Source organism: Homo sapiens, chromosome 17 (assembly GCF_000001405.40).
Source record: "Homo sapiens chromosome 17, GRCh38.p14 Primary Assembly".
Classification (NCBI taxonomy): Eukaryota; Metazoa; Chordata; class Mammalia; order Primates; family Hominidae; genus Homo; species Homo sapiens.
Window position 1 is genome coordinate 36311512 of NC_000017.11, and position 24267 is coordinate 36335778.

Genomic DNA, 24267 nt, shown 5'->3' on the forward strand with positions numbered 1-24267 from the left:
CTCAGAAAAAAAAAGAAAAAAAAAAGAAAAAGGTCTTGACTTATTAAATGTCATAAGAAAGCCAGGTACAGTGACTCTTGCTTGTAATCTCAGTGCTTTGGGAGGCTAAGGCAGGAGGATTGCTTGAGGCCAGGAGTTTGACACCAGTCTGGGCAACATAGTGAGACCTCATTTCTACAAAAGATTTAAAACTTAAAAGTTAGCCAGGTATGGTGGCAGGTGTCTGTAATCCTAACTACTTGGGAGGCTAATGTGGGAGGATCTCTCGAACTTAGGAGTTTGAGGCTACAGGGAGCCATGATTGCGCCACTGTATTCCAGCCTGGGTGACAGAACAAGACCCCATCTCTTAAAAAAAAAAAATAGGCCAGGCATGGTGGCTCATACCTGTAATCCCAGCACTTCAGGAGGCTGAGGCAGGTGGATCATTTGAGGCCAGGAGTTCGAGACCAGCCTGGCCAACATGGTGAAACCCCATCTCTACTAAAAATACAAAAATTAGCCAGATATGGTGGCAGGCACCTGTAACCCCAGCTACTTGGGAGGCTGAGGCAGGAGAATTGCTTGAACCTGGGAGGCGGAGGCTGCAGTGAGTTGAGATCGCGCCACTCCGCTCCAGCCTGGGTGACAGAGCAAGACTCCATCTCGGGGGGAAAAAAAAAAGGTTGCAACAGAGCAAGACCCTGTCTCTATCTTTTTAAAAAGTTAAAAGAATTCAAAAGATGTAGCTGCATAATGAAGTATATTTAGGTTTCTGGCTGTTTGTATTCTTGGAATGTATTCTCTTCACCAGTGTTATTGATCTCATTCATGAACAGGGTAAGCATTCCCCACTTGAAGTGTGTTGTCTAGGACTGTCTTGTGTGGGGAACTTGGAAAAACCTGCTGCACCTGAAAATAACTCTTTTATGTATTTACTGGGGGAGAGCATCCCATAAATAGAATGTCATTCTCTTCACACATATTCTTAGAAGAGGAGGCTAATACATTAAGCAGAAATATTCATTCACACTTTAGTATGAGTGAATTTATCAGTGTGTTCTTGAATAAGTCTTCCTTGGAAGGAAGAATAGAGAGAGCTTGAGGAAATGGAGCCTGAATAGGAAAAAGAGGGAGAACACCAAAGGAAATTAGGGACTCCAAAGGTAAAGTTGAAATTTCTTCACAAATAAGCTTAGAGCCAACTTTGGTAGAGAATGCCCTCGATCTAGAAGTTTGTATCCTTTGAAATGGGAGATTCTACAATTATATTATATTTTTTTTATTTATTTTTGAGAAGGAGTCTCGCTGTGTCGCCCAGGCTGGAGTGCAGTGGTGTGATCCCAGCTCACTGCAAGCTCCGCCTCCCTGGTTCACGCCATTCTCCTGCCTCAGCCTCCCAAGTAGCTGGGATTACAGGCACCCCCCACCATGCCTGGCTAATGTTTTGTATTTTTAGTAGAGACGGGGTTTCACCATGTTAGCCAGGATGGTCTTGATCTCCTGACCTTGTGATTCGCCCGCCTAAGCCTCCCAAAGTGCTGGGATTACAGGCGTGAGCCACCGCGCCTGGCCCCTATTTTATTTTTATTAATAGTCATTTTCTCCTAAACTTATGTCAGTTGAAAAGTATGAAGCCCTTACTTAAATCATCCCAATGCCTGGCTTATAATAAGTATTCGAGAAAAGTCCATTCCTCTTTTCTCTCACAGGTCCTTGGTAGTTTTAACACTTCAGCCTCCAGCTTCTTAGTATGAGTGTTTTATCAGACCACTTTCCTTCTTAAAGACAGCATAAAAGCACTGGATGAATTGGGGTAGAGAAATAAGCCATGCTAGAATAGAAAGGGGGAAAGAGATGCAATAAAGCCTACAGTTTTTGGCTGGTATTTGCTCTATGGTATTAATGTAAACCTATTTAAATTTTTCTTTTTTTTCTTTCTTAAAGAATGTAATTGACCGGAAACCATACCCTGATGATGAAAATTTAGTGGAAGTGAAGTTTGCCCGCACACCTGTTACATCTACATATCTGGTGGCATTTGTTGTGGGTGAATATGACTTTGTAGAAACAAGGTCAAAAGATGGTGTGTGTGTCTGTGTTTACACTCCTGTTGGCAAAGCAGAACAAGGAAAATTTGCATTAGAGGTAAATGTACTTGAAGAGGATTGTTCCAGCAGTCCATAACTCCAGGTTGGGGAATTTACATTTCTGGTCAATTATTAGTACAGTTATTTATAATTTAATCTGAAAGTTGTGCTACTTGGTTTATTTTTAATAGAATTTAGGAAATGCCAACCTTGGTGTTTCGTTATTTTACAAAATAATAATTAAGAGAATATAAGAGTGGAATTTCTCTAGGGAATGGGTTGGAAAATATGTAGTTATATTTTTCATATCAAGTTATAAATGGATTAAAGTTTGGCCATTGTATTCAAAGTTTGGAGCTAAGGCAGTCTTCGGAGGTAGGGCTCCCTGGGATTCATTTCTAGTAATTTAAGATACATTGGCTTGCAACAGGATTCCTTTGTGGGTTTCAATATGAATTATAATAACATATTTATTAGATGGTTATTTTGTTTATACTTTTATAGGTTGCTGCTAAAACCTTGCCTTTTTATAAGGACTACTTCAATGTTCCTTATCCTCTACCTAAAATTGATCTCATTGCTATTGCAGACTTTGCAGCTGGTAAAGTAAATTTCATTTTATTGCTGAATTGTAATAACTTTTTAAAATTTTGTGACTTTTGATGCAAGAGTATATATATATATATATATATATATATCTCAATAAATGTTTATATTTATTTTGTGAAGGTGCCATGGAGAACTGGGACCTTGTTACTTATAGGTATGTTAATGATGTATTACCCTGCCTTATCTTTTCAAATCACTGATTTCAAAAGGGCTTCCCTCCTAATCACAGTTGAGTAGCTTCTGCTTTACGATATGGTGTAAATTTTTCTACCTTCCCCCACTTCCATGCACATTTCAAGAATGCAGATGGACACCTCTCCCTTTGGTGCTACTGTCTGAGGGTGTAAGATTTTAAAGTGAGCATCTGGCGGTAGTAGCATTTTTAGATATATTCTTGGCTAAGTTTCTCATTGCAGTGCCTTTCTTTCCTGCCAGTAGTTTCATAGCTATTTATCCAGCTTGGAGAACCTTCCCTAATTTCATATCTTCTAGCCAAGTTTTTACATGTCTGTCACCACAACATAAACATGTGAGTTGAATAACTTTTAAAAGCAGAGTCTGTCTGTAAACAAGTTTTTGCCTTCTACTTTCAATTGCCTTCTTAGATGAGCTAAGTGTTGAACGGCCGGCTCAGTGCTGTTTTTGGGACTATGGAATGCATCTTCCTCCACCACTCCCCTCATTTAATGAAAGGACTTTCTTCTCTCTCCATCTAGCACAGTAATCGCTAATCCCTTAGACAATGTTTTCCCAAAATTTCAGGCAGCTATTCTATCAACAAACTGATAATTAAACTTGTGTCACATCTTTGATATTCTGTTGTATTAATTCTGTTGGGGTAGTCTTTAATCTTCGTGAAACTTTTTCTTTCCATATTAGGAAATATTTTCCTAATATCTCTAAAGCCTAACTTGTCCATCTGACTTACTGTCTGAATCTTCCCAACTTATGCATGCCCACTTTTATTGTTTAAATTTGTTTCTCTTTTTTTTTTTTTTAAACATAGGGAGACTGCATTGCTTATTGATCCAAAAAATTCCTGTTCTTCATCCCGCCAGTGGGTTGCTCTGGTTGTGGGACATGAACTTGCCCATCAATGGTTTGGAAATCTTGTTACTATGGTATTTAATATTTTTAAGTGCTCAAATATATTTATCTTCATCCTACTCCACATTATTTTGGCTACATAGTATTTCAAGTTTGGCTGCAACACTGTGCCAAAAAATAATTGAGTGATAGAAAAGTATTATTTTAAAAGGTCCACTTTGAAAGGGCTTATCAGAATCTCTGCATTGAACAAGGGCATATGGACAGTCTTTATTCAACAGACACTTCCTAAACTGTTCTAAAATTTGTCTGCAAATGGGAAAAGTCAAGATACTAATTTGGGTGAGAGGAAAAGATTCCTCTTAGGTGTAGATGAATGAATCATGCAGTGAGATTCCAGGCTAACTGTAGTTTCTTGAATCTTATTTGTTAATCTGACTCACAGCTGAAAAGTAACCTGATGAATAACAGACTGATCTTTAATTAGAGAGAAATGTTTTTAGGAGTCAGTTTTTTCATTGCCTAAAATGTTAAGTTGAAATTTAATGAAATAAAAGTAAACAAACTGCAGAGTGACTGCAGAATAAAGCTGTATTAAAATTCCAGCTGTTCTGTTGAAATCCTTATAATGTTTGCAGTAATGATCTCTGTCCTTCAGTCCTGATTTTTCACTCTTACTCTAAGTAAATACTATTTATGAATGCCAACTGTGTTAGAGCTTGGGAGCACAGGATTTAATAAGTGAACTAGATGTACCTCTGCAATTAAATAACTGGATATTCTGGAGCCAGCTAGATTCCCTGACATTTTAGGCTGCCAAAGAGCAGAACCTGATTTGAATGTAGATTGAGTCCATACGTTATATAAATAAGAATGTAAGACATTTATCAACTGTTACGTGTCTCAGAGAGTTTCTACAGAAAGTCAACCCTTGAAAATAAATCTTTTCCTTTTATTTTGGATGTTTAAAATTTTACAGGTGAAAAAAATTCTTTGAAATATAATTTCAGGCCGGGCACGGTAGCTCACGCCAGTAATCCCAGCACTTTGGGAGGCCGAGGCGGGTGGATCACTTGAGGTCACGTGTTTGAGACCACCCTGACCAATGTTGCGAAACTCCATCTCCACTAAAAAAAAAATAGAAAATTAGCTGGGCGTGGTGGTATGCACCTGTAATCCTAGCTACTCTGGAGGTTGAGGCAGAAGAATCGCTTGAACCTGGGAGGCAGAGGTTGCAGTGAGCCGAGATCACGCCACTGCACTCCAGCCTGGGCAACAAGAGCGAAACTCCATCTCAAAAAAAAAAAAAAAAAGAAATATAATTTCATGTGGAACTATGTGTTGGTGCCTGTATTCAAATATGTGAAGAAATGGCCTTTTCTTCTAATGCAGCGAGTTTGCTACTTTGTACCAAATAATTTTTTTGCTTGGCTTTGAGATAACTTTATGATTTTATTTTGAAACTACAAGCAATAAATTTTAGTAGGGGAAATGTGTACATTCTTATTAAACAACTTTTTACTGGTTTTATGTAACTATTCTAGTTATTAGAACTGAAATTCCAAGGGCTTAGGGATAGGTTGGAAAATAAGTTTCATTTTATGCTAGTTTATTTTAGGAAGCTACTAGGCAAATAGCCACTTATCACTTAATATCAAAATAATTTTTTTTTTAAGACAGAGTCTCACTCTGTCAGTTAAACTGGAGTGCAATGGCACAATCATGGTTCATTACAGTCTTGACCTCTGGGCTCAAGCAATCCTCCTGTCTCTGCCTCCTGAGTAGCTGCAATTACAGGTGTGTGGCACCATGCCCAGCTTATTTTTGCACTTTTTGTAGAGACAAGGTTTCACTGTATTGCCTTTTGTAGAGACAGGGTTTCACTTTGTTGCCTAAACTGGTCTCAAACTCCTGGGCTCAAGCAATCCTCCCACCTCAGCCTCCCAAAGTGCTGGGATTACAGGCATGAGCTACCACACCTGGCCTTTTCTGGGGGGACTGGTTGGGGATGGAGAATAGGATCTCACTTTGTTACCCAAGCCGGAGTGCAGTGGCACAATCATGGGTCAGTGCAGCTTCATCTTCCTGGGCTTATGTAATCCTCTTGCCTCAGCCTCCCAAGTAGCTGGGACCACAGGTGTGTGTCACCATGACCAGCTAATTTTTTTTTACTTTTTAATTTTTTTAGAGATGGAGTCTCACTGTGTTACCCAGGCTTATCTCAAACTCCTGGGCTCAAGTGATCTTCCTGCCTTGACCTCCCAGAGTATTGGCATTACAGGAGCAAGCCATTGTGCCTGGCCTGCTTTCTTTCACTAATAGGCTTAATCAACTTTAATAAAATTTAGATTAAGATCTTTAAAATTTTTTAAAAACTGATTTTATCTGTCACTCATATTCTTTGTCCATTCCATTTACTATGCATTCTTATTTAACAGGTGATAATTTTATATTCCATAAGTGCTTAAACACCATTCATTACTAAACTACATTTTTGTTTAATTTCACATAATTTTTATATAAGCAGTACTCTTTCTCAGTTTCTCTTGAACATTCAACTCATTAGTGAGTGGTTTTCCCCAGTCATTTCCATTTTTCTTTATTTGGCTCTGATAGTTTTCTGTTTTTGTTTTTCAGAGATAATCCTTTACTATACTAAATTCTACGTGATTATATTTTCCACCTCTATTTGCCTATATTTATCTGCTGTCTTTTCCTTTTCCATATATGGGCTTATTTTTTTTTTTCCCTCTTCTTCCTTTTCTACCTTTGGTATTTAAAAAGTTACTTAGGACTGAGTGCACTGGCTTACGTGTGTAATCCCAGCACTTTGGCAGGCTGAGGCGGGAGGATTGCTTGAGCCCCGGTGTTCAAGGCTGCAGTGAGCTACGATGGTGCCCCTGCCACTCCAGCCTGGGCAACAGAATGAGACCCTGTCTGGGTTTGGGGGAGAAGTTATTTACAATGTTTTGAAAATATCCTTTGGCCCAGGCATGGTGGCTCACACCTGTAATCCCAGCACTTTGGGAGGCCGAGGCAGGTGGATCACTTGAGGTCAGAAGTTTGAGACCAGCCTGGCCAACATGGCAAAACCCCATCTCTACTAAAAATACAAAAATTAGCCAGGCATAGTGATACATGCCTGTAATCCCAGCTACTGGTGAACACTCCAGCCTGGTGACAAAACAAGACTTTGTCTCAAAAAAAAAAAAAAAAAAAAAAAAAAAAAAAAAAAAAAAAGAAAGGAAAAGAAAATGACCCTCAGATATAATTCTAATATCACCAGTTGGCCTTTCTTGACATCTCTTTTAGTCTTCTCTCTTTTTCAGAAATGTGAGTTCTTTGCGAAATGTTTTGAACTGAATTTTAGGTCATTAAATTGTGAGTTTTGGAATATAGTGGAAGGGACATGTGAGTGTTTTAGATTAGTAGAATGACAATCATTTCAATTTCTTTAAGTATTTTCATCTTCTGTTTTTAGGAATAGTGGACTCATCTTTGGTTAAATGAAGGTTTTGCATCCTGGATTGAATATCTGTGTGTAGACCACTGCTTCCCAGAGTATGATATTTGGACTCAGTTTGTTTCTGCTGATTACACCCGTGCCCAGGAGCTTGACGCCTTAGATAACAGCCATCCTATTGAAGTGAGCCATACTTTCTAACCATTAGCCTATGACTGCTCTCATTTACAATGAAATACGTAATTTGTTACATAGATACTTTGGACTTTGAAAAGAAGAGAAAATAGCATGGGTGATTTTACTGGTTCATATTTCTAGTCTTGAAAAGCTAGTAAGTCTAAGTTCTAATTAAACATTTCTTTTAAAGGTAGGCAGTAAAAAAAAATTGGTCTGGCCAGGCGCAGTGGCTTACGCCTGTAATCCTAGCATTTTGGGAGGCTGAGGCGGGTGGATCACCTGAGGTCGGGAGTTTGAGACCAGCCTGACCAACATGGAGAAACCCCGTCTTTACTAAAAATACAAAATTAGCTGGGCACGGTGGCGCATGCCTGTAATCCCAGCTACTCGGGAGGCTGAGGCAGGAGAATCACTTGAACCTGGGAGGCAGAGGTTGCGGTGAGCCGAGATCGTGCCATTGCACTCCAGCCTGGGCAACAAGAGCAAAAAACTCTGCCAAAAAAAAGAAAAAGAGTAGTATGGGAGAAGTCATACCTATTGGGTAACACTATGGTTCCATTGTTTATGTCAAGGAAAATTCTGGACATATTTTATTGTCAGGGTCTGTTTTGTGAATACTTTAATTCTCTTGACTTAGCCTATCCCTACTTCAGTTTATATATATAAATTTTGTATCTAAAGAACTAGAGTTATAATCCTACTTCAACATATTTAATTAGGCTCCCATATAATTGTAATTCATTACAATTAGTGCAAGAAATCTAATGTTCTTCACCTCCATGTCTTCCTCATCACTCCTCTGCAACTACCCCAAAAATAAACAGAACCATAGTGGCTTCTTTCCCAGCAGAACAAAGCCAGGACTGGAACCCAAGCTCTAAGGGATGACAGGAATCATGTTCTATTCAACTTTATTATTATTAGTTACTACATTTTTTTGAGGACCATCGTTATACATTATGAGTGAGTTAAAGGCAGAAAAATGTAAGTTAGAAGGGTTTTCCTAGAAAGCGTTTTATGTAATTCAGTATTACAGGCTATCTGCTTCCTGTCATAACCCTGAATCACACTGTCTGCCAGGTCAGTGTGGGCCATCCATCTGAGGTTGATGAGATATGTGATGCTATATCATATAGCAAAGGTGCATCTGTCATCCGAATGCTGCATGACTACATTGGGGATAAGGTAAAAAAAAAAAACTTTAAGTATTTCATTCTTTCATGGTGAAATCATAAGAGTTTTGCATGAAAAAAAGTCTCACTTTATTTGGATTAAGTTCCCAAATAGTTTCTGGCTTGTCATTTTTTTTAATGACCAAAAAGAATGAGAATTCAATTATTTGAAGTTGACTACTGTGGTCTCTTAGATGAGTGATGTGCAGGTGTGTTTGGGAGTGGAAATGGGAGGCTGTTATAAAACTTAAGAGCAAGAATAGAAGGCATAGAGTACGCATTATTAAATAAAAGGCAGTAGGCATCAGAAGGATATATGTGTTTCAGTGTATCTGATACTTGAGTATTTGAGTAAATTTGTTTTTGATTACTAATATACAAATATACTATAAATTCTGAGATCTGACTTCCCTGGATTTTAAAAATTGTGTTTTCTCAGGACTTTAAGAAAGGAATGAACATGTATTTAACCAAGTTCCAACAAAAGAATGCTGCCGCAGGTAATCTTTAATAGCTTGAGATAGAAATGGAGAGAAAGTATTGTCACTCTATCCAGGCTGGGACATTTTATTTTTGTTCTGAATACTTAACTCAAGGTCAGGATCCATGTAATAAATAAATTAGCCTTATTTGAAGCTGTGTTCAGGTTGAATATCTCTAATCTGAAATTTGAAATGCTCCAGAATCTGAAACTTTTTCTTTTCTTTCTTTCTTTTTTTTTAATTAAAGTTCTAGGGTGCATGTGCACAATGTGCAGGTTTGTTACATCAGTATACATGTGCCATGTTGGTTTGCTGCACCCATTAACTCGTCATTTACATTAGGTATTTCTCCTAATGCTATCCCTCCCCCAGCCCCCTACCCCATGACAGGCCCTGGTGTCTGATGTTCCCCGCCCTGTGTTCAAGTGTTCTCATTGTTCAATTCCCACCCAAAATCTGAAACTTTTTGAGTGCCAACGTGATGCTCAAAGGAAATGCTCATTGGAACATTTTAGATTTTGGATATTGCAATTATAGATGCTCAGCTAGTAAGTATAATGCAAATATTCCAAAATCCAAAAGAAATATGAAATTCAAAACATTTCTGGTCCCAAGCATTTTGGATAAGGGACACTCAACCTGCAGTAAGTCATAGGGTCAACATGAATCAGGACTCATTATCCCTTTGGTCATCCTCCAGCATTCTGCTTTCCATAACTGAATATTTTGCCAACTTAAAGAGTCTGGGCCGGGTGTGGTGGCTCACGCCTGTAATCCTAGCACTTTGGGAGGCCAGGATGTGAGGACTGATTGAGCCCAGGAGTTCAAGACCAGCTTGCAACATAGCGAGACCCCACCTCTACAAAAAATACAAAAATATTAGCCGGGTGTGGTGGTATGTGCCTGTAGTCCCAGCTACTCAGGAGGCTGAAGTGGGAAGGGTCACTTGAGCCCAGGAGTTTGAGGTTACAGTGAGCAATCGTGGCACCACTGCACTCCAGCCTGGGCAACAGAACAAGATCCTGTCTCTGAAAAAATAAAAAATCAAGGGAATAGTCATGTGTTGCTTAACAACAGGGATATGTTCTGAGAAATATGTTGTCAGGCAATTTCATCAATATGTGAACATCATAGAATGTACTTACAGAAACCTACACAGTATGTCCTAGGCTATATACACCTAGCCTACATGGTATATACCCTGTTGCTCCTAGGCTACAAAATACCTGTACAGCATGTTACTGTACTGAATACCATAGGCAATTATAACACAATAGTATTTGTATACCTGAACATTTCTCAATATAGAAAAGTTACAGTAAAAATATGATATTAAAGATGCTCCATCAGCTGGCTGATATGCCTATAATCCGAGCACTTTGGGAGGCTGGGGCAGGTGGACTGCTTGAGTCCAGGAGTTTGATACCAGCCTGGGCACCATGCCAATACCTCGTCTCTATAAAAAGTACAAAAATTAGCTGGGTGTGGTGGCATGTGCCTGTAGTCCCAGCTACTTGGGAGGCTGAGGTAGGAGGATCATAGTTTCAAAGTGTGGCACTTACTGGTTCTCCACTCACTCCCTCCTGCCGTCTTGTGAAGAAGGTGCCTGCTTCCCCTTCCCCTTCTGCCATGATTGTAAGTTTCCGGAACTGCAAGTCAATTAAGCCTGTTTCCTTTATAAATTACCCAATCTCAGGTATTTCTTTACATCAGTGTGAAAACAAATGAATACAGTCCCCTTCCCTGAGGTGCCTTCTCCTTAGGCAACCAGCTGCCCCCATGCTCCTCTTCTGCCCCCCTGGTATTTCCTTTCCCCTCATGAGGCCCAAGTGATCCACATGGCCAGCCACAGCCCCATCCTACTGCAGGCCTGTGTGGCTGCTAGAGAGGCCAGGCTCCTTTCCGCACCCCGAGGCTGCCCGATATGCTTTCTGCATCCTGTAGAAAACTGACCCACTATTCTCATACTGGTGCAACTTCTTCCATTACCTCAAAACTGGACAACGTGAACTTGTTTCTTGTCTCTTCTTGCTAGGGCTGTCACTGGGACAGTCCGAGATGGGGGGGTGGGGGGAGACAATGGATGAATGGATGGATGAATGGACAGTAGTCCAGGGAGATGTCCCTGTGTGTCCTGAACTGGGACCTTCCTCCAATGAGAAGCCTTCCTGAGTGAGTTTATACAGTCATCCCTTGGTATCCATGGATTAGTTCTAGGGTCCCCGGGGATGCCAAAATCCATGGATCCTCAAGTCTCTGACATAACATGGCCTAGTATTTACATATCAGCTATGCACATCCTCCCGTAGACATTAGACCATCTCTGGATTATTCATGATGTGTAATACAATGCAGATGCTACATAAATGGTCGTGATACTGGATTCTTTAGGGAATAATGACAAGAACAAACTCTGCACATGTTCAATAGAAACATAACCGTCCAATTTATTTTCTGAATATTTTCCATCTGCTGTTGCTGAATCTACAGATGCAGAGCTCCTGGATACGAGAGCCAAGTGTGCTTTGAGAGTAGGGTGGGTGAGGTTGCTAATGAGTACAGGGGAGCAGGTGTTGATCAGGAGGACCCTGCACTGGGGCATCTGGACGTCCTGCCTCAGGACTTGAGACTCCAGTTGGATGGCACAGGCAGACTCAGCCCAGGTCAAAGCCGTCCCCTTGAAGTTTCTTTTTATCCCAAGCTCTTTCTGGCCCCTGGAATTTGGCATCCCCTAGGCCCTGTGTGGAAGGACAGATGAACCAGGTTTTAGATAACATGTCTAGAAGAGTGAGCCCCTACTGTGTGCCCGGCACTTTCCCCACAGGATCCTCTAGCTAGAATATCCAAGGGTCATGGAGAGAAATACCCAGTTAAAATATCAGAAATGAAAAAGCGATACCATTAGAGACACTAAAAAGACCATTAGGTAATAGTACTAGCTTTTGTATTCTGAGATCCAACAGCAGCAGTCACTTCCCTCCACCGCTATGTGTATCCCAGGACCACCCTGGGCAGGGAGGGCTGAGGTTAGGGAGCAGCCATGGATGCTCTGATGCTGGCCCTGGGCCTCGGGGGTGACAGTGATGAGGAACTGGGTGCACACATGAGTGGGGCAGCCGGGCCTGGCCAGAGAAGCAGCACACACGTGCACAGATGTGTTTACCCACATACACATGTGCACGCACGTGCACAAACACATTGCAGGCAGGCATGTTGACGCCTCAGGCAGCGGAGGACCCTGACTCTGGGTGCTGCTGACCCGGGCAAGGCCCCACTGTGATTCGTGCCATGACCTCAGAATGTCACTGGTGCTTAGCACCTATCTGCTCTCTGGTCTGCCTCAGTGGTCTACAGCAGTTACACACAGGCAGTGGTATCTGTGAGCAGCTCTGTGGACTCAAAGGTTTTCTCCCTGAGAGGCATGACCCAGGCCAGCTGATTCATCAGAATCAGGTGAGCGTGACCTGCTCTCTTCCCTCCAGGCGGACTTGGGGGCAGTGGCTACGGTGCGGGCGGTGTTGGCCTCTGTGGGGCAGCTACCGAGGAGGGTCATCCCTGAGCACTCACCAGGCGCCCGTTCTACACTGCCCGTGTAGACGATTGGCTCTTTCGTCTCCATGGTGGCTTCGTAGAGTGGGTGCTGTTCCCAAATGTCCCCATTCGACAGATGAGACGTCTGGGGTCAGAGAGGCAGTAACCGGCCTGGGAATCCGGACATGACCCTGAGTTTTGCTCTCAGCCCTGCCGTGTGCTGTGCTGGAATTCAGGCCTGAACCCTGTGACCTCCCTGCCCTAGATCCCAAATCTGCCCAGGTTTCCCATCCCGATGGGGCAGAGCCTGGTCCTGGCAGAGCCACTGGTATAGAGCCACTGGTACAGATCCACTGACGGTCCTCAGAACACCTCTGTGCCCTAAGCTGGGTCCTGATGGTCGCTGTGGGCCCCACTGAACACACATGGTCCCTTGTCCGGGGGAGCCTGCTGCCCTTGGGCAGCTGTGGAAAATGAAGGAGCCCTGGAGGGCTGGCTGAGGGGAGACTATCTTCCCTTGTGTTCAAAGGGGTCCGGGCACTAGGGTTCTCCCCAGGTATTTCTTGCTCTGCGTGGTCCTCTTGAGGCCTCGCCCTCCTTTTGCCTCGAGTATTCCCAGGAGGGACGGTCCATCCAGCTGTTCTCCAGGACCAAGGACCCACTGTTCTTCCTCAGTGACCCAGGAAAATGAAGCCTCCTCCTGTTGGGACGGCTCAGAATGGTGGACTCCACAGTCCCTCCGCGAGAGACGTGGTTTCCATGCGTACAATAGATCTTCCTCATCCCCCAAACCCAACACCCTCCTGCTCAACAGGCGTTATTCCTAAAGTGGCTTCACTGTTCAGACTGAAGAGCCACGGTAGCCAAAGTGATGAGCGGAGTAGAACCGAGCAGTCGGGAGAGATCTTGTTCCCTGTAGGAAACTGGGCATCGCTGAGGCCCTGAGCATCCCAGGAGGCCGATTGCACAGAGACCTCTGGTCGCTGACCCCAGTCTGCCTCCACATCCCTGGAATAGCCCATCATGGGCCCTTCACCCTTGGCAGGTGGAAACCATTCAACCTGCTGGGGCCGGTGTGTCCCCATTTCATGGCATTGGGGGACAACAGGATTCTCTGTCTAGGTCCCACTGTACTCAAGTCCTTGGGAAGATGCCCACCCCTGCTTGGGACTTGAGACTCCAGAGACTGGAGCAGCTGTGGGCCACTGGGTCTGGCCCCTTTTTCCCTGGGGGCGGCGGTGGAATGGGGGTTACGCAGCCAGCCAGCATCTGGGAGCCCGGCGAGAGCGGTTCAGGTGTTCTCCGAAGCCGCCGCGTACAGTGTGACCTTTAGACAATTCTGTCTCACAGGATGGACGTGGTAGAGGTCGCGGGCAGTTGGTGGGCACAAGAGCGAGAGGACATCATTATGAAATACGAAAAGGTACAAGTCGGTCTGCTTCTTGGAGGGAGGCCTCTTCCAGTGTGCCCTGGTCAAAGGGTCCTGGGCTCCCTAGGAGCACAGGGCAGGGACGGGTGGCCAATGCCCCCAGGCCCTTGCACCCTTTACCTTGGACCCCTCACCAAGGCTCCCTCTGGGCTACAGGGACACCGAGCTGGGCTGCCAGAGGACAAGGGGCCTAAGCCTTTTCGAAGCTACAACAACAACGTCGATCATTTGGGGATTGTACAGTGAGTCCTCTGCACTCCCCTCACCCCTAAAGCACCTGTCTCAGCTCAGGGATGGGTTTGCTTTTAGAAAGGCCTTTCTGACGCAGGACATGTCTCACCAGGTCGGGTCAACCTCCTTTCCAGGGACAGAACTCCTCCCTGACTCCCCTGCAGGTCCAGCCCGAGGTTGTTAGGCCAGAGGTGTGGGGCCCATCTAGGGAGCCGGTGGGAATGGAGACTGGGCTAGGTCAGGCCCCTGGGCGCTCAGCAGTTCTGTCGGCAAGTGAGCACAAGAGGAGCGGGGCAGCCTGAGGGTCTGGCCCTGTCTACTTGGAGACAACCCCGGTGAGATGCAAGGGTTATGGCCACAGGGTGAGGGGACGCCTGGCCCAGCCTCAGGGCTGTTGTCCAGCAGGTCTCTGAGGGCCCACCTGCCCCTGTTCTCCCCCATTCCCCTAGAGCTACAGCCCTCACTGTCCCGTGAGGGGAAAAGGCATGGTGACAATGGGGGCTGTAGCCCTAGGAGAACGGGGGAGAAGATGGGCAGGGCCCCGTTCTGGGCATCTCACGGTGAGGCCAGGGAGGCAGCAGGGCTCGCGGCTAAAGACCTGGGTCTGGTGCTGGGAAGGGATCTGGGGCCAGGTAAGAGGAGCCCAGCCAGGAGCCCATCCCTCAGGGATCACAGGATGGAGAGACAGAGGATCCCTGGGGAGGTAGGGCGGGAGGGAGCTGACGAGCGGTGCCACTTCTGAAACGCAGGGTGTGTGGCTCGGGTGCAGGGAGAGGCAGGTGGATGCTGGGAGGTCAGAACCTGCAAGGGCCTTGGGGCTGTCAAGTGGGGTGGGCCCCTGGTGCAGCCAGAGTACACCGGGCAGGTCTCAGGGCAGGCTCCCTTGACCCTGGCGGGGGGATGTGGTCACTCCCTGAGGGACTCCTGTCAGGGCCCGGTCGCCCACCCTGGGCGGCCCCCATCCCATCTCAGGGCTAACCTTTCTCAGCTCCAGCAGAAAGCACCACCTCGAGTCCAGGACGGGCAGCCCCATTGGGCAGCCTGACCGCCCCCCACGCCAGGGGCCCCAGTAACCCCGGCCAGGCTGTCCCTACACTCCTTCTTCTCCCAGGTCCTGCCCCTCCTGGGAGTCAGCCCCACAGGAAGGCCCTTGTCCTCCCTTCCCTGTGCCTTCTCCTGGGCTGAGCCCTGAGCTGGAAAGGGACAGAGCCAGTCCTTTCTGGGGGTCGGCACCCAGGCTGGGGCCGCTCCAGGCCCCGTGCAGTTCCTCAGCTCTGCCTGGGTTGCCTTACAGTGAGACGGAGCTGCCTCCTCTGACTGCGCGGGAGGCGAAGGTAAGAGCCTGATGCGTGGAGGGGCTGGTCCAGGGACGTAGGGACTGGGCGGGTGGTCAGTGAGGCAGAGGAAGCAGCTGGCCTGAGCGGTGGCGGGTGAGGGCAACACGCTGTCACTGGGAGGGGCAGCAGTCCCTGCTGGACCTGACCCCAGGTTGCTGTTCACTTTGGCAGTTTGATAAAATTCCAAAAGGAGAACCACAGTCCTGGCTTGGGGGTGGCTGCGCGCTTGTGTCAGGACCCCACCTAGAGGCTGGGACCTAAGACTGGTGTGTCTGTGGCCTGAGGATGGTACATCCCGGGGTCCCAAAGCCAGCCCACTGGTGCTCATTTGCTCAAAGGCTCTCAGCCCTTGAGGTCTGCCCTTCCCTGGCTCCTTCCAGCTGGCTCCCACCAGGGCTCCAGAGCCCAAGACCCAGCATCTGCGGGCGGCTCTGGGAAGCCTGGCAGCTCCGCTAACTCCAACATGCCTCATTTGACAGCAAATTCGGCGGGAGATCAGCCGAAAGAGCAAGTGGGTGGATATGCTGGGAGACTGGGAGAAATACAAAAGCAGCAGAAAGGTAACGTGTGGAGGGAGGAAGCACTCTCTGCAGAGACAGGGGACAGGCACCCATGGCTGTGGCCTGGCACCATCAGCCTCTCAGAGGGTGGGCGGCACACTGTCCTCGCCCAGAGGACTGCAGGCCTGGTCGCCAGATTTCCTGCCTATTCGTGCAAGCGTCACCTTGCAGGGAGGGAATCTGAATCTAGGGCTGGGACTACCCGGAGCTCAAGGCTAGGGATGCCCTGGGGACCTGAAGGAAGGAAAAGGTTCAGATCAGAGTTTCGACTCTGAGTGTCCATCCACTCTTTCAGTCCTGGGAAGGGAGACCCTGTCCCAGCTTGATCTCACCTCTACTGAGGAATCATGGGGCCAAAACCGACAATTTCCAGAATCCCCGGGCTCTGGTCCTCACTGGGGTCACCCCGTGGCCTGTGACACCAGATCGTTTTCTGCCCACAGCTCATAGATCGAGCGTACAAGGGAATGCCCATGAACATCCGGGGCCCGATGTGGTCAGTCCTCCTGAACATTGAGGAAATGAAGTTGAAAAACCCCGGAAGATACCAGGTACGCTCAGCCAGAGCACAACAAACAGGACAGGCCGTGTCGGGGCCCAGGTCTCCAGCTGGAGGGAACGTCAAGACCACCCTGGGGAGCTGGGGGTGAAGGTCAGATGAACACCCTGGGCACAGATGGTGACACAGTCACCACAGACAAACTCAGCTCTGGTGACCCTCCCTGGCTTCAGTAACAAGCCAAAATGCAGCTTTCTGCAGAAGGAAACCTTCCTTCTGTCCTTCCTTCCCGAAGTGCTGACTGTGGGCTGACTGCCACTGGGGGCAGGGAGTCTTCCATCTGTTCTGAGACTGCTTCCTCCTCTTGGCCCTGCCCTACAGATCATGAAGGAGAAGGGCAAGAGGTCATCTGAGCACATCCAGCGCATCGACCGGGACATAAGCGGGACATTAAGGAAGCATATGTTCTTCAGGGATCGATACGGAACCAAGTAAGCCTACGGGAGCCACAGGGTCCCAGCAGAGATGGGGTGAATGAGAGGGATGGGGGCTTCCCCGGAGCAGAAGCCAGGGTCACCCAGGAGGGATGACACAGCTGCCAAGAGCTCTCCCGGCCCAGGGAGCAGCCGGCACCATGAACCGAGCACCTCCCTGGTTCCAAGCCCTGGGCCAGACTGGAACATGTGGGGCCAGAACCCAGGAGGATCCTGAGGAGATGGAAGGCAGCAAACAAAATCATGCACAATGGTGAAGGGTGCTCTCCCTGACCCATGGGGACCCATGGTAGGACCCACGGGAGGGTGGCAGGATAGAGGGCCCATGAGCCCCCCCCAGGCAACAGTGACAGCACCAAATGCTGGGAGAATTAGGGGTCCTGGAAACTCTCATCCAGGTCCGCTGGGAACATGACATGGCACAGCCACGTTGGCAGCCAGTTGGGCAGTGGCTCACAAAGCTCGATGGACTTGAACCACACATCCCCAAAGTGTCACAGATATTGAACCCACTGATTTGCAAACTGACATCCACATGAAACCAGCATGCCAGGTTCACTGCTTGACTCCTCGTCACTCACACACGGAGCCTTCGGGGACGGCCTTCAACACGGGGATGGGGAGAGCAAGGCTGGTCCTCCCTTCAAACGGAAGACCCAGTGAGAAAAGGGAACGAGCCGGTGATGCCCGCACGAACGTGGGTGGATCCTAGATGCATTTTGCTGAGGGACAGAAGCCAGACCCAATAAGCTACCACAGTAGGATTCCCATTCCTAGGCCATTCTGGAAAAGGCCAAACCACAGGGACTGAGAAGCAGTCTGGGTGGCCAGGGGCTGACGGATCGGGGAGAGGCTGGTTGCATAGGGGCCACCCTGGAGACTTGGAGGATGAAGGAGTCGCCCCAGGAGGGGCTGGAGCGGTGGCCGGGAGACTCTGCACATCGGTTTGGAACCGTGGAGGAACTGTACACCCACAGACTGAACTGGCGTGTGTGCAAACTGAAAAAAAAAATCATTCAGAGTGAAAAGGATCAGGCAAGTCACTGTACAACTGGGCTATTTGCATGTCACAGATGTGGATTTTACTGAAACATTTCTTCAAGAGTCTCAGGCCCTGAAGAGCTCACTGCTTATCTGGTGAAACATCTGAACCTGAAATGGGATTTGCTGTTAGGCTTTGTAGACAAAGTGAAATTAACAACATCTGCACAAAACAAACCAAAGCCCCCTTTCTCTGTTTCCTAGGCAGCGGGAACTACTCCACATCCTCCTGGCATATGAGGAGTATAACCCGGTGAGTATTCCCGGCAGTGAGGTTCCCGGGCCATATTTCCATATTGACAGGAGTGGGTGTCTGGTGGGGGTGTCGTTGCTTCTTTTAAAGTTAGTATTTGTGACCCACCAGGATATAGGAGGTAGGATGTCAGCTCACCGCTGGCATAAACCTCCAAGGAAGGGGGTGGTCTCAAGGGGTCAAGCTGAGACACAAAGGAGTCAGGGCCCGGACTCCTGGTGTCACCTGGGCCTGACCACCACTTCTCAGAACAAGAAATGACGCCCTCCTCCTGGGGCTGCCCCAAAGCCCAGGAGCTTGGCAGCATCGCACACAGGATGGTGCTATCAGCAGACATTTTGGACAAGGTGCTGAAGTGCCTGATGGACTTGGCTCTTGTCATGAAATGAATGTGCATCCTGAGGAAGCCTCTTTTTCAGAGGAAGCCTCTCCTTCAGAGGAAGCCTCTCCAGTCACCTCTGCCCTCTCCAATGACATGAGTCCTCCCAGGTGACCTCAGCCCTCCCAGGTGATGTCCTTCCATGGTGACTCTGGCTCTTGCAGGAGGTGGGCTACTGCAGGGACCTGAGCCACATCGCCGCCTTGTTCCTCCTCTATCTTCCTGAGGAGGATGCATTCTGGGCACTGGTGCAGCTGCTGGCCAGTGAGAGGCACTCCCTGCAGGGTAAGTGAACAGCTGCCCCGGGGACCTCCTGCAGCCAGACCTGGGGATGGCCACCCTGGCCAGGTGATCACAGCTTTCAGCCAAGGCACCCTCCTTGTGTCGCCAGCTTGTTGGGAGACTTTAGGATGTCTCTGCTGAGGGTCCCACAGGAGTCCACGGCTGACCCCCAAAGCCCAAATCAGACGCCTGTCATCCCCATCAGCAGAGGGCATCTCATCCTCCCCGTGGCCACCCTCTGTGTCCTGGAGCCACGCCCTCCGGCTCTGATTCTGTGCAGCTGACTCTCCCCTCCCTGAGAGTCCTCCTGCCCTCCAGCTGCCCGGGCTCCTGCTGCCATCGGTGCCCACGAATGGGCCGACCAAGCCCAGGTGGCAGCATCTCCCCATCCCCTGTTCCCTGGCCCGACCCCACTACCAGGAGATGACCGGGAAGCCCAGCGCCCACCCAGTTCCGGCCACCCTGTCGTGGCCTGAAAGTCAGGCTTGCCCTTTTTGCACCCTGGCCCAGGAGGCCTCCAGGGGAACCTCCAGCCAGGCTCCAGGGAATGTTCCCGCCCCACCTCCCCAGGGTAAAGGCCGCATGTTGGGGTCACCAGATGGGAGGGTGGGAGGCCTTGGGGTTTGGGGGCCTCTCCAGCTGCCCAGCTCTTGCAGCTGATGGCTCCACATCTTGGGGGAAGGCTCTGATTTCATGATGGGCTGGGGGCTTCTCAGGATTTCACAGCCCAAATGGCGGGACCGTCCAGGGGCTCCAAGACCAACAGGAGCATGTGGTAGCCACGTCACAACCCAAGACCATGGGGCATCAGGTGAGTTTATGGTCCCCTCAGCTCTTCCCAGAGGCCCTGCCTCCCGTGGGGCTGTAGGAGCAGGGGGGCTGGAGCCCCTCGTGGGGCTGGTGACTGGCTGAGTCCCAGCCAGGGCCTGACCTGGGACGTCGGGTTCTCCATGGGCTGGGAGTTGGTTTCCTTTCCTGCCCTGGAGGAGACAGAGGCACAGGGATGGGGGCCCAGCTCCCACAGAGCAGGGCAAAGGGCAGTGTGTCCACCGGGAGTGTGGGAAGGTGACAGTGTTGTGGGGAGCTCTGGACACCGCCCAGTGTTCTGCACTAGGGGAAGGGTCTTCAGAGGCCCTGGAAGAGGGAGGTTTTTAGGGCAGCCCAGTGGCCTGAGCACCTCTGTTGCTTCCATCAGGACAAGAAAGATCTATGTGGGCAGTGTTCCCCGTTAGGCTGCCTCATCCGGATATTGATTGACGGGGTAAGGAGGCATAGGGAGACCCTGGCTCAGGGACCTTCCTTGCCCTGCAGTGCCCTGCTTCCCCAGCCCGGGGGTCTGGCTCACTCCCAGCCCACAGGAGGCTCAGGCGGGTCCCCAAAGGACACACAAGCAAAACCCTCTGCCCAAGGGGGGTCATCCCAGGGCCATGGCTGGGGCTCAGGCCCAGCCTCATGGGCAGACTGGGCCAGGACCCGACTTGAGAGGGCTCAGGGAAGCCTCAAGCCCTGGGCAAGCCCCTCTCTCCAGGAGCCACATCCCCACTCAAATGAGTGCCCCCCATGAGGAGCTTCAAGACCTTGTCTGACCCAGCGTCCTGGAGGGCTCAGGCGACCCTCATGGGGAAGGTCACTGACTCTGGAGACTGAAGCCCCAGTGTGCGCAGCTCGAGCCACCAGCCCCAGCCTGGAAGGACCAGGTTCTTTCACACCTGCTGTCCCCACAGATCTCTCTCGGGCTCACCCTGCGCCTGTGGGACGTGTATCTGGTAGAAGGCGAACAGGCGTTGATGCCGATAACAAGAATCGCCTTTAAGGTTCAGCAGAGTAAGTCTACGTGTGCCCAGCGGGGCCTGGGGAGCCCTGGGGTCAGACCCCGACTGGCCCGAGGGCAGCTTCCTCACACTGTCCTCATGATCCGCTGTTCTGGCCCAGAGGGAGGTCTGGCCAGGTGGGCTGGGCAGGACACTGTGACACTGAGCCCATCCCCCACATGACCCAGATGAAAGTCGAGAGTGTGGTGAGCACTTCCCTGTCCGGATCGCCCCCCAGCCACAGTCTCCTGTGTATATCTGGACACCTGGGGTGGCCACAAAAGGATCCGGCACCGCCCAGTAGGAGACTGAAGTGGCCACGGGATATGAGCTGTGACCATTCCCAGGTAACTCCCCTGGCCTGATATCCACCCTGTCCCTAGAGCGCCTCACGAAGACGTCCAGGTGTGGCCCGTGGGCACGTTTTTGCAACCGGTTCGTTGATACCTGGGCCAGGGATGAGGACACTGTGCTCAAGCATCTTAGGGCCTCTATGAAGAAACTAACAAGAAAGCAGGGGGACCTGCCACCCCCAGGTGGGCTCCAGTGCCATGTCCCCTCCCATGTCACCCTCTGGGGTAGTCAGTAGTAGGGGAGTGCCCGGGACCCGCAACCCTACTACCTGGGCCTTCCTCTTCACCTTTTCTTCCTCCTCTTCCTCCTGGACTCTAAGAAAGTACAGGAGGCCCACCGGTCCTCAGGGCAGGCGCTCAGTGCGTGTATACTGGACATGCTGTGCATGCAGGAGGGGGATGTGGGCAAGACCCTCCAACAAGCCCCCTCCCACTTTCCACGGTGTCTCCCTCTCCCCCTCGCAGGGCCCTCCAAGTTACTAGACGAGCCCAGACCCATTTGTGGGAGACCCCGCCCCTCCCTGCAAGCACCCACAGCCTCAGAGAGCAGCAGAGGCCCCTCACTCCTGCACGCTCCTCCAAGGTTGCCAGGACAAGAAGCCTGGAGCCAGGGAGACAAGGGAATCCGTGTCCCTGACCCACAGAGCATTCAGGGAGAGGGCCCAGAGCCAGAGCCAAGAGTTCAGCCAGAAGTGGGAACGGTCAGTCCTGGCATGGACTGGGCAGCCCAGGAGGGCAGAGGGTGACCCACGTCCGGGCCCAATCACCCACTGCGGAGACGGGTCCCCACGTGAGGTGACAAGGGGCTGGGTGACATCCAAGGCCCCTCCCACCTGAGTTCTGACTGGGGGCCGTATCCCAGGCCCAACAGCCCTGGGACGAAGGTGTGTGGCAGGAAGCCCCCAGCCAGTCTGAACCCTGGGGGCAGTCCCAGGAGCCACCCGCCATGCCACGACAGCTTCCCCACGCCAGGCAGCATGCACCCCTCCCTCTGGGATCAGCAGACTACAGGCGTGTCCTCGGTGTCAGGCCACGGGGGCCACACAGAGACCCCGAGGACTCCAGAGACGCAGGCAGGTGGGGCCCAGCCCGGAAAGGCCTGCGTGGGCTCACTGGAGATGCTGACCGCGTCTGTTTTCCTTTCAGCCAAACCCGAGCAAGGGTCGTCGGCATCCAGGCCTGTGCCGGCTTCACGTGGCGGGAAGACCCTCTGCAAGGGGGACAGGCAGGCCCCTCCAGGCCCACCAGCCCGGTTCCCGCGGCCCATTTGGTCAGCTTCCCCGCCACGGGCACCTCGTTCTTCCACACCCTGTCCTGGTGGGGCTGTCCGGGAAGACACCTACCCTGTGGGCACTCAGGGTGTGCCCAGCCCGGCCCTGGCTCAGGGAGGACCTCAGGGTTCCTGGAGATTCCTGCAGTGGAACTCCATGCCCCGCCTCCCAACGGACCTGGACGTAGAGGGCCCTTGGTTCCGCCATTATGATTTCAGACAGAGCTGCTGGGTCCGTGCCATATCCCAGGAGGACCAGCTGGCCCCCTGCTGGCAGGCTGAACACCCTGCGGAGCGGGTGAGATCGGCTTTCGCTGCACCCAGCACTGATTCCGACCAGGGCACCCCCTTCAGAGCTAGGGACGAACAGCAGTGTGCTCCCACCTCAGGGCCTTGCCTCTGCGGCCTCCACTTGGAAAGTTCTCAGTTCCCTCCAGGCTTCTAGAAGCATCTGGGCCAGGGCTCATGGCTGGATAATTTCCCTAGGCTTAACAACCCAAGCAAGCTTCGCATCCTCGTTTTATTTTTGGTTAAACTTATGAAAATGTATTAAGAAAGAGTGCAGCTCGAGAGAGATTCAGAGATGGAACACACCAGACCCCAGATCACAAAGCCAACCATGCCCAGCCCCTCCCAGCACCCCCAGCCCCACGACCATCGTTCTGAATTCTGACGACACCGTGAGCCTGCCTTTGTACTTCAAACTCATGGAAGGATAACCACCTTCATGTTTTGAAATAAATGTTTCCTGTTGAAATGATTTTAGATTTTAGACAGAAATATTGAAAAGGCACTATAGTATCCTCCTATACCTTCCATCCAGCTGCCCCTAATAATGATGTTTTGCAGTCCCATGGCACATAAGAAATTTAGGCCGGGTGTGGTGGCTCACACCTGTAATCCCAGCAATTTGAGAGGTCGAGGCGGGAGGTTCAGGTTCACTTGAGTCTAGAAGTCTGAGACCAGCCTGGGAAACCTAGGTGGACCCGGTCTCTAGAGAAAAGTCAAAGAAATTAGCCAGGCATGGTGGCGTGTGCCTATAGTCCCACCTAGTCAGGAGGCTGAGGCAGGAGGATTGCTGGAGCCCACGAGTTCCAGGAAGCAGTGAGCCATGATTGCACCACTGCACTCCAGCCTGGGTGACAGAGTGAGACTTTATCTCTTAAAAAAATTTAAGAAATTTAATGTGGGTACAGTTCTATTAACTAAATAATAATGTGAACTATTATCTAAGGTTATGAAGGCTAGAATTATCCCATTTTTGCCTAACTTCTCGTACCTGTCCCAAGATCCCACCTTGGACTCACCCTCTGCCTTCAGCTCACGTCTCTTCAGCTTCCTCCACATGGTCCAGCAAACACACACCTGGGCTGAATGGTAGAGCTGATTGCTCATACACAAAGGTAGACCGGTGGGCAGGGATTTTCAGACTTACACAGTCAATGAGTTTTCCTTGGTGTTCTGGAGAGCACCGTTTGAGAAACACTTTGACAGTGAATCTAGGCCTCAAGATCCATCAGCTGCTCTAGCTTGAATTTTGCTCAAGCTCAGTGAACACCTGCTCTGCCGGGTGCACGTGAAAGGGGCAAGGATGAGAAAGCTGTAGATAAAGAAGACAGGACGCAGGGGGTCTGTCTAAGCTCTATCCCCTGCCTTCAGCACTGAGGGATGAAATCCAACTCTTAGGGAACGGTGGCCACGTGCTGGGCCAGCCCCAGGCTCTCAGGATCTGACAGTGGGTGACGCAGAGCCAGGCCTTGCCCCTGGGGAGCTCTCCAG

The 24267-nt window shown here is 49.7% G+C and overlaps 2 protein-coding genes across 11 annotated transcripts in view; both read left to right on the top strand.

Annotated features, from left to right (window-relative positions):
* LOC101060212 (puromycin-sensitive aminopeptidase-like protein) overlaps positions 1-3676 on the top strand; it is a 41091-nt gene extending 37415 nt beyond the window's left edge. The window contains exons 5-7 of one of the 2 annotated variants that reach the window (XM_047437249.1): positions 1926-2126; positions 2573-2669; positions 2798-3676. In XM_047437249.1, coding sequence (XP_047293205.1) covers positions 1926-2126; positions 2573-2669; positions 2798-2877 — 378 coding nt within the window. In that variant the 3' untranslated portion in view covers positions 2878-3676. Of the gene's footprint in view, positions 1-1925; positions 2172-2572; positions 2751-2797 lie in introns of those variants that run through there. The other variant, XM_047437250.1, reaches the window with a different exon arrangement.
* A 209-nt stretch (positions 3677-3885) lies between these two features.
* On the top strand, positions 3886-23248 carry TBC1D3G (TBC1 domain family member 3G). 9 transcript variants are annotated; one of them, XM_047435086.1, is made up of 16 exons: positions 3886-7370; positions 8393-8549; positions 8976-9036; positions 13900-13972; positions 14135-14220; positions 15321-15543; positions 16026-16106; positions 16550-16657; positions 16987-17096; positions 18345-18393; positions 18937-19057; positions 19771-19865; positions 20250-20315; positions 20779-20878; positions 21249-21401; positions 22365-23248. In XM_047435086.1, exons 4-16 carry the CDS (start codon positions 13901-13903, stop codon positions 22931-22933), a joined length of 1833 nt encoding a protein of 610 aa, XP_047291042.1. In that variant the 5' UTR covers positions 3886-7370; positions 8393-8549; positions 8976-9036; position 13900; the 3' UTR covers positions 22934-23248. The 9 variants fall into 9 exon arrangements, with proteins under 9 accessions (XP_047291042.1, XP_005276971.1, XP_047291046.1 ...); XM_005276914.4 differs by having other exon boundaries at positions 8445-8549; positions 8976-12471; XM_047435090.1 differs by having other exon boundaries at positions 8445-8549; positions 8976-12471; positions 15504-15543.
* The last annotated feature ends 1019 nt before the right edge of the window (positions 23249-24267 follow it).

Bases quoted from the DNA above. Each gene is read 5' to 3' on its own strand.
- TBC1D3G (XM_047435086.1), top strand. From the start codon at position 13,901: ATGGACGTGGTAGAGGTCGCGGGCAGTTGGTGGGCACAAGAGCGAGAG. The intron at 19,866-20,249 runs GTGAGTTTATGG...TGCTTCCATCAG, and splicing joins CCAAGACCATGGGGCATCAG to GACAAGAAAGATCTATGTGG. The intron at 20,879-21,248 runs GTAAGTCTACGT...CCCTGTCCCTAG, and splicing joins CGCCTTTAAGGTTCAGCAGA to AGCGCCTCACGAAGACGTCC.